Source organism: Homo sapiens, chromosome 1 (assembly GCF_000001405.40).
Source record: "Homo sapiens chromosome 1, GRCh38.p14 Primary Assembly".
Taxonomy (NCBI): domain Eukaryota; kingdom Metazoa; phylum Chordata; class Mammalia; order Primates; family Hominidae; genus Homo; species Homo sapiens.
The window spans coordinates 202,301,555-202,316,356 of NC_000001.11; the positions used below are offsets into that span (position 1 = coordinate 202,301,555).

Genomic DNA, 14,802 nt, shown 5'->3' on the forward strand with positions numbered 1-14,802 from the left:
ATTGGGAGTTTTGAATATGGTGGGTTCTCAAGGCTGGTTCTCCTGTGGCCTTGGAGCCCAGATCCCTGGGCACTTTGCTGTGCCATCGTTATCACCCTTGGCCTGAAGGTGCTCTCTATTTCCCCTCTCTTATTCTCTAATTTCCAGCCCAAGTCCCACTTCTTCAAAAAGCTTCCATGGGGCCAGGCACAGAGGCTCACTCCTGTAATCCCACCACTTTGGGAGGCTGAGGCGGGTGGATCACTTGAGGTCAGGAGTTTGAGACCAGCCTGGCCAACATGGTAAAACCCCATCTCTACTAAAAATACAAAAAAAGTAGCCGGGCGTGGTGGTGGGCACCTGTAATCCCAGCTACTCAGGAGACTGAGGCAGAGGACTCGCTTGAACCCGGGAGGCGGAGGTTACAGTGAGCCGAGATCGCGCCATTGCACTCCAGCCTGGGCAACAAGAATGAAACTCCGTCTCAAAATAAAAATACAAAAATTAGCCGGACGTGGTGGTGCATGCCTGTAGTCCCAGCTAAGCTACTTGGGAGACTGAGGCAGGAGAATTGCTTGAACCTGGGAGGCTGAGGTTGCAGTGAGCCAAGACTCAGTCTCAGAAAAGAAAAAGCTTCCATGGATTGCTGTCAGCCTACTGTGGCGTCACAGTAACATAGCCGACATCTCCAAAGCACATACTTAACTTTCACGTTCATTACGGCATTTCATCTTCATCGTAACCCTGTGAGGTAGGTGTTATTGGTCCGATTTACAGGTGGAACATGAGGTACTCAGGCCCTGTTGGGCATGAACCCAGAACCCTTTAATTTCAGATTCTGGGCTCATTTCTGGACCCCACGCTGCCTCCTCAGGGCTTTTCACAACACTCAATTTTCTGCGCTGCTGTTGCATGCAGGCCCCATGTGGGTCCGTGTCCTCAATAAAATAGGAGATGGTGGGAAGGAGGAAAACCACCAGTCTAAAGCAGTTTAAGAGAACTGATAGTTCTCTTTTTTCTTTTTTCTTTTTTAGACAGGATCTCACTCTGTTGCTCAGGCTGGAGTGCAATAGCGCAGTCTCAGCTCACTGCAACCTCCGCCTCCTGGGTTCAAGCGATTCTCCTGCCTCAGCCTCCCGAGTAGCTGAGATTACAGGCGCCCGCCACCACGCCCGACTGCTTTTTGTATTTTTAGTAGAGATGGGGTTTCACCATGTTGGCCAGGCTGGTCTCGAACTCCTGACCTCAGGTGATCCGCCCGCCTCGGCCTCCCAAAGTGCTGGGATTACAGGTGTGAGCCACCACACCCGGCTGAGAACTGATAGTTCTAATAAAGTTCCAGCAGATGACAATTTAGGGGTGACCCTATCTCAGGTTCTAATAAGCAAAACCCAGCAGCCAAGGGCTTCTCCAGAAGCACCCAAGCTGTTGTCTATTAACCAGAGGCCATTCCCATGTTGCTTGCATGTGGGGTTTTTGCAAGCTGAAGCGTGAATGCTGAGGTTACCCAGCTCTGTCTGGGCGAGGGTGTGCTGAGCAAACTTAAGCAAATGGCTGGTTGGACCCTGCTAAGTATGGCTCAGCCTCCACGAGGGCCTGCGTGGCTGACTTGAGGAAGATTGCAGGGAAGCATGACATTGCCCCCAAAGGAGGAGTCCCGGAGGGGAGACAAAATGGAGAATTGAGAGTCTTGATGTTGAGATGCTCTGACCCCACCCCTCAGAGCTCATTGTCTCTATTTCCAGATCTCTGAATGGTGCCATGGACATCCAGGAGTTTCCAGATCTCAAAGGCACCACCAGCCTGGAGATCCTGTGAGTGGCTTCTCTCTCCCTACCTTATCTATCGCCCCAGCTTCATTCCCAAGAGCTCTTCCACTCCCTGCCCCTGGAAGGCTGTCTAGGTTCCTTGCTTCCCTTTTATCCAGCCTGTCTCTACTACTGGCTCCATCCCCTTCCTCCTGATGTGGCACTGCCCACAGGCAAGGTCAGCAGGTGGCAGATGGGATGGCAGTGAGGAGGCTGGTCTTTCTCTCTTTACCATGCTTGGAGTTTTCAGGTATTAATTTAGAGCTCCTAACCCCAAGCCACAGGTACACTGAGGGTTGAAGTGATGGAGAGGAGGGTTGTGAAAACCCGTCTTTGCCTTTCTGAAGCTTGATTCCAACAAAGACGTTCTTGTATTTTCTATTATTATCTCCTGTGGCATAGAGGGCAGGAGTGCCGACGCATAGTAGGCCCTCAATACATTTAAATGAATGAAATGAAACAATCGAGCAAACACCCAGAATGAGTGTCAGGAAGTCGGCTGCCCTGCCCCACACCACAAAGTTCATTCATGGCACCACTGGGACTGGGGCTCTCCTCTGTGCCTCCGTTGTCTCCCCGCTAGATTCACTGGCATGTGGAAAATTTTCCATGAGGGAAGTAGTTATTCCCCAAAGATGACCTTGGCCTTGGGTCCTTCCTGGGACACCCTGCCCGAAGCCAAGCCTGCTCTCCAACCTGCCCCCACAGCCCTCTCCAGCCCAGCTCCTGGTTCTTCCCTTCTATCCCATCTCTTCTCCCTCCTCCGAGGCACAGGGACCAAACTCTGTGCCTGTGTCCCATGGTCCCACTACGGTGTTTTTCTGTCTACACTTGCCCATGGACATCCCCTCCTCTAAGGTCCCTACAGCAGAGAAGATTTGTGTCCCTGTCCTACAGGCCCAGTGCTGCTTGAGACCATTATGAGACATGGGGTGGGGATGGGATGGGGATGGCTGGAGCAGAGCCCTGGGCTGTGGCCCTCTCTCTCCACTCCCCTCCCCCAGCTCCTCTAGGCCCAAGGGAGCTTGGTGCTCAGATGCCAGTGTCTGCTCGTTTTTGTCCCCACAGCCCCACCCCCTGCCCTGTCTCTCCCTCCATTTCTCTCTTTTGTTAGCTCCGTCATCCCACGACAGTATCAGGTCCAGAGCTGGAGCGGGGTGGCTGGGAATGGCAGGGCCCTGGGCCTGGTGCCAGCTCTGTCTCTGTTCTCCCTGCAGGACCCTGACCCGCGCAGGCATCCGGCTGCTCCCATCGGGGATGTGCCAACAGCTGCCCAGGCTCCGAGTCCTGTGAGTGCTCACAAGAATTCTACAGTCTTGGCATTGTGCCCCTACCCCCATGTCCCACAAAAGGCCTCTCCTGCTTCTGTCCCACTTGGTCATTTCCCTTCCTGGAGAATGGAGCAGCATAGGCTCCTGCTGAGAGCCTACCCCAGAAGGACCGGGTTTGAGGCACAGCTCTGCCACTTACTAGCTGTATTGATTTGGACTCACTCTTTAAAGTCTCTGAGCTTCGATATCCTCGTCTATAACATGGGAGTCAATTTGTAAGGGTTGGAAAAAATATGTAAAGCACCTAGTGCATAATACCAATAAATGACATAATTACTGTAATTTTACACAAGAAAATTAGTCCCCTCTTGGGATCTTGGGACTGTGGAGGTACTTAAGTGGCCTCTGAAGTCAAGGGGAGTTTTCCTCTCTCCTTGGACTCCAACTTGAATCTGAGGCTCCTCATCAGGGACCATAGCCCCTCAGCTCAAGATGGGTGGACCAACGCATAGTGTGTGGAAAGAGCCCTAGGCTGGGGGTCCGGAGACACAGGCTCCAGACTCAGCCTTGCCACTGACTGGTGGTGTGTCCTTTAGTAGGTCCTGTCCCCTCTGTGGGCCTCAGGTTTCTCATCTGCTGAGTGAAAGAGTTGGGCCAGATGATCCCTAAGGGCCTCCAGCTCTGATCTTTCCTGCCAGCTCCATAAATGGTGACTGCAGGTGCTTGGGTTGGCATTGCTCAGTGAGGTCCAATGTGTTCTCTGCTGGCTGGCTCAGTGCCCCTCTCCCTGACTCTTTGCCTGTTTCCTCTTCACCACGCCCCTCTCACTTCCTGGGTAGTCCCATCTAGGCCCAATGAGGAGTGGGACTTAGTAGGAGGAAATGCAGAGAAAGTGAATTGAGGAGACTGGTGCCCTGGTGTGAGATGCCTCAACAGCCATGTCCCTGTGGGGTCCCCACAGCCTTCAGCTAATTGACAGGAAAGCACAGTCCTGGCTAGAGCCCCCCGTCCCCGAGCAGCCCTCAGATAGCCACCATTTCACCCCAGCCCTGGCCTTTCTCTTTTCCCCAGGGAACTGTCTCACAATCAAATTGAGGAGCTGCCCAGCCTGCACAGGTGTCAGAAATTGGAGGAAATGTGAGTCTGGGGTAGGGAAGAGGCAAAAGCACGCCAGCCAGACCCTGAGCAAGTCCTGTAGGGAGGTGTGATGGGGGGCATCAGTAAGGGCCAATGCACACTTTGACATTTCTTCCTTCTCTTTTCTGAGTTTGTTTAACCCAGAGTTTAGGGCTGAGAGCTTGGCAGAGGCCTGCACAATGGCCCTAGGACTCACAGCAGAAGACCGACCCAGGAGCTGGTGCCCAAAAGGAGTCTCAAGGTGGCTCCTTATAAATCAGTAGCAACACAGAAATGCAGTAGTGATTAGAACCAGTGGAGGGACAGGGTCACATCAGGGCCCAGTGGGATGGACCGGAGAAGGCTTTAAGGAGTTGGAAGCACCCTGCATTTTGGAGCATGTTCTCTCCTTTTCCATACCTCTAAACACGCACATGCATATGTGTGTATGTGTTTGCATATTACACACAGACATACATAATCATATGTGGAAGAACAAGCCTGGGATTCAAAGGTCACAAAGAAAATATCACTTGAAAAATTCTCTAAGCTGTATTAACCCAGCTCCTGTTTTCTCAAGCCAGCATGGCCTCTTGAGCTTCCCTGTGTCTGTACCCTGCTTCTAGGCAGGACCATGCATTTTGGGGCTGGGGCAGGGTACAGATATGAGGGTCTCCTGTTTGTCTAGGTGCCAAGGGAAGGAGGGTCTTCTGCATGGCTGAGGCCCAGGGTCCATCTCCCATTCAACCAGTCTACTGAGCTCTGCTTCCCAGTTCCGGCCAGTCACTTGGGTTGGGCGGTGCTCTGCTTCTGGGCTAGGGTCTGGAGGACCCATGGTGATGGGAGGTGTGGGGGCCAGTTTGGCTGGGCTGGGAGCCAGGCCCAGTGGGAACACTGGAAGCTGACTCCCTTTTGGGCCACAGGGATGGTTTTGTGGCTTTGTCTCCTGACCCACTTACCCAAGGCAACCGGATCCCCTTGTGCTCCCTTTAATTCTGGTGACTTCCTCGGGCTGGGCCCTTTCTTCCTGTGCCAGGAGAAGTGGGGGGCTCTACTTTCTTCCTCCCAGTGCTCGGGGGGCATGGAGCGGAGCCAGGGTCTGAGCCTGCCGGCTCATCCAGCCTCTCTTGCTGCCCTAGCGGCCTCCAACACAACCGCATCTGGGAAATTGGAGCTGACACCTTCAGCCAGCTGAGCTCCCTGCAAGCCCTGTGAGTACCCACATCCAGGGGTGGGCCATGGAGGAGCCACCGTGTCCCTCTGCTAGGCATGCTCATTGTCATAGCACATGTGTACAATTTAAGCAAATGTGACATGCACATCGCCTCCCAGCTCCACAGCCCCCACCCCCAGCACACACACACACTTCTCTAGCTGGCACCCAGGAGGTCTTGAGGCTCTGGAGCCAAGCTGTCATGTCCCTGTTCCTGGGGCCACAGCCAGCTCAGGAGCTGGGCAGCAGCAGGTACCTTCCCCAAAAGGCAAAGGTTACTGTTACTGGGGGCAGGTCAGATGGGGGTATGTGAGGGGGAGCCCATGATGGGAACAGTGAGTCCTCCACATGTTACTGTCCCCTCCTGTCACACCCTCTCTGCCTGCAGGGATCTTAGCTGGAACGCCATCCGGTCCATCCACCCCGAGGCCTTCTCCACCCTGCACTCCCTGGTCAAGCTGTAAGTGCCTGCTGCATTCTCCTCCAGGATGCTGGGGGCCAGTCGGGACTATGGGCTGGCCAATGGAGGCAGAAGGGCCACCCCAGAGCAGGAACATGCATATCCCAGGGAGATGGGCCTCAGCCTAATCAATCATTCTGACAATCCGTTTGACAGAGTGTGGGGCCTGATAAACAGAGATCCTGCCTCTTGTAAGCTCTGGAACATCATCTGCTAATGTTCTGCAGTATTTTGGCAGCCTCAGCCCTCCTCATCCCCCCTGCCTCGGTCCCATCCCCATCCTCTCTATCCACCAACAAAGAGGATATATTGGGCCTGGAATCCCTTCACACATAGGAGGGTGGAAGTAGATGTGGGAGCCAGGGTCTCAGAGAGCTCAGGGGTTCCCTGCTTGAGCATTGCTGTAGAGGACTGCCATTCTGTGAGGCAGCAGGGGACCTCAGGTCCTTTAAATTACATAGGATGTAAACAGAGAGTGAGCAGTGTTGGCTACATGGTCATTATGTCAGGGCTGGAAGGGGCCTCTGCTGCAGCTGCCATGTACTGTGGGGCAGGTTATTCACTGCGCAAGCACTCCTGCCCAAGAGGGAGCTGACATCCTGCCACCTCCTTGCCAAGCTGGACTCCTAAAAGCACATCTACCTAGACTGGGCCCTTTTCTGGTTAACACAAAGACTTCTTTTGGGCTAGCTCCAGCCCTGGCCTCAGAGACCATCCAGCCCCACCCGCTTCACTTCACAGGTGAGGCCTCCAAGGCCCAGGAGGAGAAGTTTACTCAAAGCCAAGGGCCAGGACTCCCAGCAGGCACACACATTCCTCCTCAGGCTGGGGCCGTGGCTTTGCAAAACTCTCACCTCCGTCTTCCCTCTCCTGTTTGCTCTAGTCCTGCCAGATAGGTAGGGTGGATATTTTTATCCCTTTGAAAGATGAGGACACTGAAGCTCAGGCAGATTTGTGGCTCCCCTTGGTTACACAGCGAGTTGGTGACAGTGCCAGGTTTCCTGCCTTCCAGTCCAGGGCTGTTTCCACGACGCACAGTCTGTGGTCTTAGCGTTTGGTTTGGAACCCTGGGCTTCCTCTAATGCGCCTCCAGTAGAAGAAAATGCATGTCCTCGCCTCTGGCTACAAAGCAGTCCCTACAAGATGGAATGGATGACCCAATCCCTGCTTGTAGCCAGATGACCAGCTCTGTCCAGTCCCAGACTCAGCCCTCTTATATCATCAGAAAAGTAGGAGGAAAGGCAGGGGGATGGGGATAAACGACAACAGGAAGGTTCCCCAAGCGGGTGGGCAGGGCTTCCTGGATGGCACTTAGAACTGGGCACAGGAACTGTGGTTGAGGGAGCTCTGTTACCTACAAATTGGGACAGCTTGGCATTAAGTTAGAACAGTCCCTGGTATATAGTTGGCACCGTTATGTATTGAATGAATGAGCAAATAAAAGAATGAACAACCTGCAGATGGTGCCTCTAGCAACTCTTGGCTGCCCTCCTCCCTCGGCATTCAATGCTCTCTTCTAAGCTTCTCTCCTGTCCTTTGCTCCTCTCCTCTTGCTTCCATCCCAGGCACACTGGCCACATTCTCAGCACAGCCCTGCCCCCTCAGCAATCCCACTGACTGCCAATAACCCTGACCATCCACTGTCCTAGGGACCTGACAGACAACCAGCTGACCACACTGCCCCTGGCTGGACTTGGGGGCTTGATGCATCTGAAGCTCAAAGGGAACCTTGCTCTCTCCCAGGCCTTCTCCAAGGACAGTTTCCCAAAACTGAGGTGAGGGACTGGCTTTCCCCAACACCTGGGTAGGCCAGCTGGAGACCCTGGAGGGACAGAGAGAAAGCCAGATGGCCCCACCCTGAGAAGAGCCTAGAGGCTTAGGGTTTGACCAAGATTTAGTGGAAGGGCTCACCTGACCACCTACAGACCAAGAGGGGCCTGGTTCATGCCTCCCCTTCCTCCTTATCTCCTTGGTGGCATTTTCCCCTGTCCCAAGCTCCAACGCTAGTGAGCACTGGGACCTGAGAGTGATAGAAGTAAGATGATGTGAAGACCCCCTAGCCCTCCTTGCACCCCATCTGGTTCCACATGTCCAGATTATCTGTCCTCACTTGGGCAGCATCTGAGCCCCTGGAATCAGGGCAGAGCCCAGGACACTGATGGGTGGAAAACAAGCTGCGCAGCCAGGCCGTGGTGCTAATGACATCCAGGCCTCTTCCATGCAGCAGCAGTGGTGCAGCCTGCATGGCCCAAGCCTTGTCTGCTGCACACTAATGAGATGCCCTTAGGGCCTCTGCACTTACCCTCAGAGGGCACCAAATCCAGCTCCAATATGCCCAGAGGTGGGGGAGGGATAGGGTGCAGGTCTCACTGAGGGCCAGAGTGAAGAATCACCAGAAGAATCCATGTGGCCTTAAATATAAAAGAGGAGGTGTTGCCTGGGAGAAGAAGCAGAGCACTGGCAGTGCTGTGTGAGCTTGGGGAAGCCTCTGCCCGCTCTGAGCCAGCAGAGAGGACTCCTTAAACAATGGGCAGAATGTTTCTTTCCCCATCTCACTTGCCAAGATGAACAAAGAAAGACAGAAATGCCTCCAGAGCCCTTCAGATCAGGAGTCAGGCTGCAAGGCCCTTACAAAGAATGCCTAGGAGACTGCCAGCACAGTGAACAGGGAACTTGGGAGTTGAAGGACAGACACTGAGTGCCCAGCCCCTGGGTTGCAGATCTCTTAAATCAGACTTAGGTCTTAGACCCCAAAGATGCTGAGGCAGCCAATCAGCCTGCCTCTCCCCCACCAGGATCCTGGAGGTGCCTTATGCCTACCAGTGCTGTCCCTATGGGATGTGTGCCAGCTTCTTCAAGGCCTCTGGGCAGTGGGAGGCTGAAGACCTTCACCTTGATGATGAGGAGTCTTCAAAAAGGCCCCTGGGCCTCCTTGCCAGACAAGCAGAGAACCACTGTGAGTGACCAGGGGCCCTGGGTTGGGGAGGGTAGTGGGCTGTGGAGAGGAAGTTAGAGGGGATGCTTGGGGGACCTGAGAGGGAATCTGACAGCAGCTGCAGAGGGAAGCCCTACAGAGGTGGGAGGAGCTGCCTGTGACCTGGGAGGAAACTCTACCTCTGTTTGCACTTTGTCTCTCCAAGACTACACCCAGAGGTGCTTGGGACAAAGTAATGATGGTAACAATGGCTGTGGCAATGTCTCATCTGCCTAGCCCTTTGCAGTTCACAAAGTGCCTCTCACACACCATCTCACTTAACCCTCCCCTTGTGGTCCACATGTTTCTTCTCCTTCAACCTCAGGGTATTCTCAGAGAAGACAGACCCCTTATTTTATCAATCTGAGCCAATAGGATTTAATTAAATCAATTGAATTAAACCTACTTCCAGAAAAAAAGAATCCCCTCATAATATGTCCTAGAACCAAAAGGAACAGTGTAGGGTTATTGCTGTCCAAGTCCATCCTGCACCTCCAGTCTGCCCCATGAGTCTGAAAGTGAGACTTCCGTGGCCGCCAGGTGCAAGAGACCTTCACTGAGAAGGGCCATTCCAGTGCAGGCTGTCTTGGGCCATCTGTGTTTCTGGAAGAGTTAGGGTAAAAGGCACATGTTGGAGGCAGGCAGCCAAGGGGGTTCTGAGGGATCATTTACTAAGTGGTATCTTAGATACCAAGGGCAGATAAAAGGGCTTCCCTCTCCCCCTGCCCGTATTACAGAACACAAGCAGAATTAGGAGGGAGAGAGTAGGGGTCCTCTGCTTTGGGGTATTCTTTTTCCATCTCTAACTCTCCACAATATTTCAATGGAGAAAATAAACAAACGAAAAATCAAATATAAACATGTAAGAAAAACATCTCATTACAGCGTAGACAAAACTGAGGTCCAATCCCAACTACAACATTCACCAGTTGGATTGCATTGGACCAGTCATGTAACCATACTGAGCCTCACTTTCCTTATCTTTAAATGAGAAAGATAATTGGCTGGGCGCGGTGGCTCAAGCCTATAATTCCAGCACTTTGGGAGGCCAAGGCGGGTGGATCACTTTAGGTCAGGAGTTCGAGACCAGCCTGGCCAACATGGTGAAACCCCTTCTCTACCAAAAATACAAAAATTAGCCAGTCATGGTGGCATGCGCCTGTAGTCCCAGCTACTTGGGAGGCTGAGACAGGAGAATGGCTTAAGCCCAGGAGGCGGAGGTTATAGTGAGCTGAGATCGCACCACTGCAAACTCCAGCCTGGGTGACAGAGTGAGATTCTGTCTCAAAAAACTAAATAAATAAATAAGTAAATGAGAAAGATAATGGATAGCTCATAGGCTGTTGGGGAAGACTAAAAGATTCCATAAATGATGAAGTATGCTCATCGCTACTACTGAGGACTGGTGCCTTCTGGTGTACATGTATAGGGAGAGTGCAACTGTGGAGTCCGGGGCACAGTGTATGGAGGGCAAATGGTGGGCAGGCAACCTGGGGGTCTCTGAGAGCCTTCTTCCCAATGTATTAACACACCTCCCTAGGGAGGGTATGAGGACCCGATGAGGAGCAGCCCAGCAGCCTGGCTGGCTCTGGGCCAGCAGACAGCTGTCCCCGGGGGACATTCCCGGATGTCTGCTGTACACTCCCTCAGGGGGCTGGAAGGAAGAATGGAAACTTTCCTTCCTCAAGGTGAAACTTTCCACCGAGCTTAGGTCTTGGAGAACCACAGGGCGTCAAGATCGTGGGCTGCCTGCCGCCTGTAACGGGAGCTAGGGCAGGGCCCCCCACTTCCTGTGGGAGCTAATGAGCCTCGAGAAGGAAAGCCAGGAGCTGCTGCTCCAGCCAGATTCGATTTCCTCCTCGTTTGAAGAGTGGTTACTTAACACCTTGGCTGTGATTTTCCCAGCCTCAGACAGAGTCCACGGGTTTCACCCCTTGTGTTTCATTCATGCATTTTGATTTCAAAGAATTGCTGAACTTCTTTCTGGAGAGCAGGGGTGGGCAGGGAGTGAAAGGTAGAGAGGAGGAAATGCCAGGACTCTGTGGGCACGACTCAGCCTCCGACCTGCCCTGATGGTGTCTGGGCCAGGAGCAGCTTCACAGTCTTCCTGCCTCCTGGGAAAGCTCCCAACTGATGGTGTTTACCCTTTAAGTGAGGAGGAAGGATCCACACAGGAAACAGACTTTGTGAACCAAAGATGGAACAAGTGCAACAAACAGAGTCACCTATCCATTGCCCTGTATGATGGAGGAAGAGCCCACAGGATGCTGTCTCTTAAACCTGAAGATTGTACAGTTACCTTTTGAAGACAAGCCATTCTTTCCCCAACTTGGGTCTTCAGACACATTTCCAGTCTGACCTGAGAAACTTGTCTTATTCTTTAAAAAGCCTTTCAGTGATGGATTATCACTGCAAAAAATGTTTTGTCTTTATAGATTATAAAATGTTCTAGATTCTCATTTCAAAATTCGTATAGAATTTGTGGACCTCCAGCATGTCTGCAACCCCCTAGAGTTCACAGGCCCTAGTTTGAGAAACACTGCAAAAGTGAATAAGAAAAAAAAAGTGTAAGGCCGGGCACGGTGGCTCACGCCTGTAATCCCAGCACTTTGGGAGGCCGAGGCAGGCGGATCACAAGGTCAGGAGATCCAGACCATCCTGGCTAACACCATGAAACCCCATCTCTAAAAAAATACAAAAAATTAGCCAGGCGTGGTGGCGGGCGCCTGTAGTCCCAGCTGCTCAGGAGGCTGAGGCAGGAGAATGGCGTGAACCCAGGAGGCAGAGCTTGCAGTGAGCCGAGATCATGCCACTGCACTCCAGCCTGGGCAACAGAGCGAGACTCCATCTCAAAAAAAAAAAAAAAGTGTAAAGCCTGGACTTAGAATTGAAAAGAACATTAAAGATGATCTAGTCCAGCCTCTGACTCAGGTAGAAGTGCTTTCTCTCCCATTGGGGACTTTCTGTTTAGTATCATCAGTGACAAATTATGTTCAGCTCATGCATCTGTAAATCTCCTGAACCCTCCCCACCCCCTGACCCCCCAAAGTAATCAGTCCCTTGCCTGGGAAAGCATGATGGTTAAACATCTGGGCTCTGTAGTCAGACAAACCTGCATCTGAATTCTAGTCTATTGCTGTGAGGCTGCAGGCAAGCCACTTAACTTCAATGAGCCTCAGTCTCCTTATCTGTCACCTGCCTCACATGGATGTTGTGAAGGTTAATGGGACCATGAAGATGAGGACTGACTGGGCACAGTACCTGGTGCCGAATAAGAACTCAAGAAATGTTAACCCTTATTGTTCAGTGAATCTATTAGCTGAAAATTTTTTTCTAATTGATACATAATAAATGTATGTATGGGGGGCACATGTGATTATTTAATACATTCATATAATGTATATAAAGATCAAATCAGAGTAATCGGGATATCCTTTGCCTTAAAAATTTGTCTTTTCTTTATGCTAGGAACATTCAAATTATTCCCTTCTAGCTAGTAAATAAATCTGTTAGTTGATGGCACTCATTGTAGCATGACAATTTGTTTCCTTATTAGTCTCCACAAGCTCTTTGAGAGCAGGTCCATCTCTTATTCATCCCTGAAATTCTTCTGCATTTGCCCAGTGCCAGAATTGCACTCAGCAGATGTGGACCTACTCTGCACCTGTTGAAGGTGGGGTGTTCCTTTGCTGGACAGCTCTAATTGTGGGAACTTACTCTTGTTAGGAAGTAGTAGAGTGTCTCCATTCGAATCATAATTTGCCTCGTTCTACAGTCCATCCATTGATCCTGGTTCTACCCTCTGGGGCAAAACAGCATGTAGAAGTCAAATTCCTTTACCCCTAACAGTCCTTCAGCCCTTTGAGGACGGCCATGATACCCCCACTTACTCTTACCTCCTCCAAGTTAAACACCGCCCAGTTGCTTTGACTGTTTCTCTCACAAATGGCTTCTGCTCTCCCACCCCCTAGTTCACTCGTTCACGTCTAAACACACTGCAGCTCACTGATGTTTTTCTTAATGTGTAGTTTTCACAACTGGACACAAAATTACAGTGACAGCCCAGCCAGAGTAGAGAATGTGTGATCACTAGCATACATTATTGAAACAGCTTCCACTCCAACTCGAAGCAGCACTTGTGGGTAAGGCTGACTGGAGAGGACATAGAGCCCTGACTAATAGAAAGAGAAGGTCTAGGTGAAATGTTTGCTGTGCACTCTTCAGTGCAGATAATCCACATGTGGATAATAGGAAGCTGACCAAATCTTTACCCCCAAGGGTAGAAATGGATGTGCCGGGTTGCTAGAATGAACAGTGCTGAGCAGAGTTAGTAAGGGACATCTTAAAGGAGGGGGCATTTGGAGAAAGGTAGGGCTTGACTGACACCAAGACCCAGGACCCTGCATCACTTTGTCTCTCCTTTCAGATGACCAGGACCTGGATGAGCTCCAGCTGGAGATGGAGGACTCAAAGCCACACCCCAGTGTCCAGTGTAGCCCTACTCCAGGTGAGGTGGTGTCTGGGGAATGGGGACGAGGGGGAATGGAGAAAGGGCACCCAACCACCTAGTTGAGGTATTAGTTCAGCCTGGCATGTCTGCAGCCACATTCTTTGCCTGACTCCCAGCCTGCTGCAAGAGGGCCCTCCTTTCGTAATTCCTGGGGAAGGAACTGGAGTTCTTTCCCTTGGGTGGCTGCTTGAGGGGAGTAGCATGAATGGAGGCGAAGTCAAGCAATCAGCCAATTAGCATTTATGCATCCAGGATAAAACTACTGTTACACAGGAGAGAAGCAGGAAAGAATGCCTTGACCCCATTGCTCAGGGTGGCACGTGGGACTGCTTTTGAGTAATCCCTCAGTCTAAGACCCATACCACAGAATCCTAGAGCCAGGTGGGACTCCAACAGGTCACCTTCTCCATCCCTCCCTGCTCCATCCCAGGAAGATTACAGTCTCTGTTAAAACTCTGCACAGTGGAAAAACTCCATAGTATCCCTGGGTAAGTCCTTACAGCACCATCTAACGCTTATAGTTGCGGAAGCCTCCTTTAGCATCTAACCTAAATCCATCCTGCTATAAAGAAAGCAAAAAAGAAAATTCTCTTTCTCTTTGGTGCAATTCAACTTGAGACATTTAGAGTGAGGAAGTCCCTTCGCTTGCATATAAAATGCTAACAGGCCACAGAAGGTGGCAAGCAGCATGCTACTTAGGCAAGGATGGGATTCTTCAGAATGAACAGAAGTGATGAACAGTTTGCTTCTTCTATTTCGTTCCACCTCCGTTTTCCAGTTTTCCAGCTTTCTCTGGCCCAGGACCCTTGCCTTCTCCCTTTACCCTCTCTAAAGCCTATAGAGTGATTGCCTGGCCTTGCCCAGCCCGAGTTTTCAGTGCTTGGTGACAACAGCACGCCCTCTAGTGCCAGCTTGGGGCCAGAGCACTAACCCAACCTGGAGGAAGCAGGTGCTGCTTCTGACTTGGAAAAACACACATGCTGCATTCACAATGCCATGGAAATTTCACCTCTGAAAACCAGTAATCAGCAGGGATGAGGTAAAAGAGGAAGTTCCAAAAGACAAAGTCCAACTCGAGCTTGCTTCTAAAATAACTCACACCAAATGGTCAAATAATTATGGTACATTTTATGGTACATAAAATATGTTTTGAGTAATATAAAAATATTTCTCTGGGAAAAAATTTGGGAAAGTCTGCTTGATAAAAATGTGACTTAAAGAGAACGAGAAACGCATATACAGTTGTCTTAGTCCGCTTCGTGTTGCTATAACAGAATACCTAAGGCTAGGTAATTTATAAAGGAAAGAGTTTTGTTTGACTCACAATTCTGGTGGCTGGGAGGTTCAAGATTGGACAGCTGCATGTGATGAGGGCCTCAGGCTGCTTCAACTTGTGATGGAAAGCAGAAGGGGAGTGGGTATGTGCAAATAGATCACAGGGTGAAAGAGAAGCCAGACTCCCTTTAACAAC

The 14,802-nt window shown here is 51.2% G+C and overlaps 1 protein-coding gene across 19 annotated transcripts in view; it reads left to right on the plus strand.

Moving 5' to 3' along the window:
* Positions 1-14,802, plus strand: part of LGR6 (leucine rich repeat containing G protein-coupled receptor 6) — a 125,963-nt gene that overhangs the window by 107,756 nt on the left and 3,405 nt on the right. For 13 of the 19 annotated variants that reach the window (NM_001017403.2, XM_047426931.1, NM_021636.3 and 10 more), the window contains 8 exons: positions 1,725-1,793; positions 3,005-3,076; positions 4,130-4,195; positions 5,314-5,385; positions 5,776-5,847; positions 7,497-7,622; positions 8,643-8,803; positions 13,248-13,328. In NM_001017403.2, the coding sequence (NP_001017403.1) occupies positions 1,725-1,793; positions 3,005-3,076; positions 4,130-4,195; positions 5,314-5,385; positions 5,776-5,847; positions 7,497-7,622; positions 8,643-8,803; positions 13,248-13,328 (719 nt within the window). The remainder of the gene's footprint in view (positions 1-1,724; positions 1,794-3,004; positions 3,077-4,129; positions 4,196-5,313; positions 5,386-5,775; positions 5,848-7,496; positions 7,623-8,642; positions 8,804-13,247; positions 13,329-14,802) is intronic. The other 6 variants (XM_047426928.1, XM_011509839.3, XM_047426932.1 and 3 more) reach the window with 2 other exon arrangements.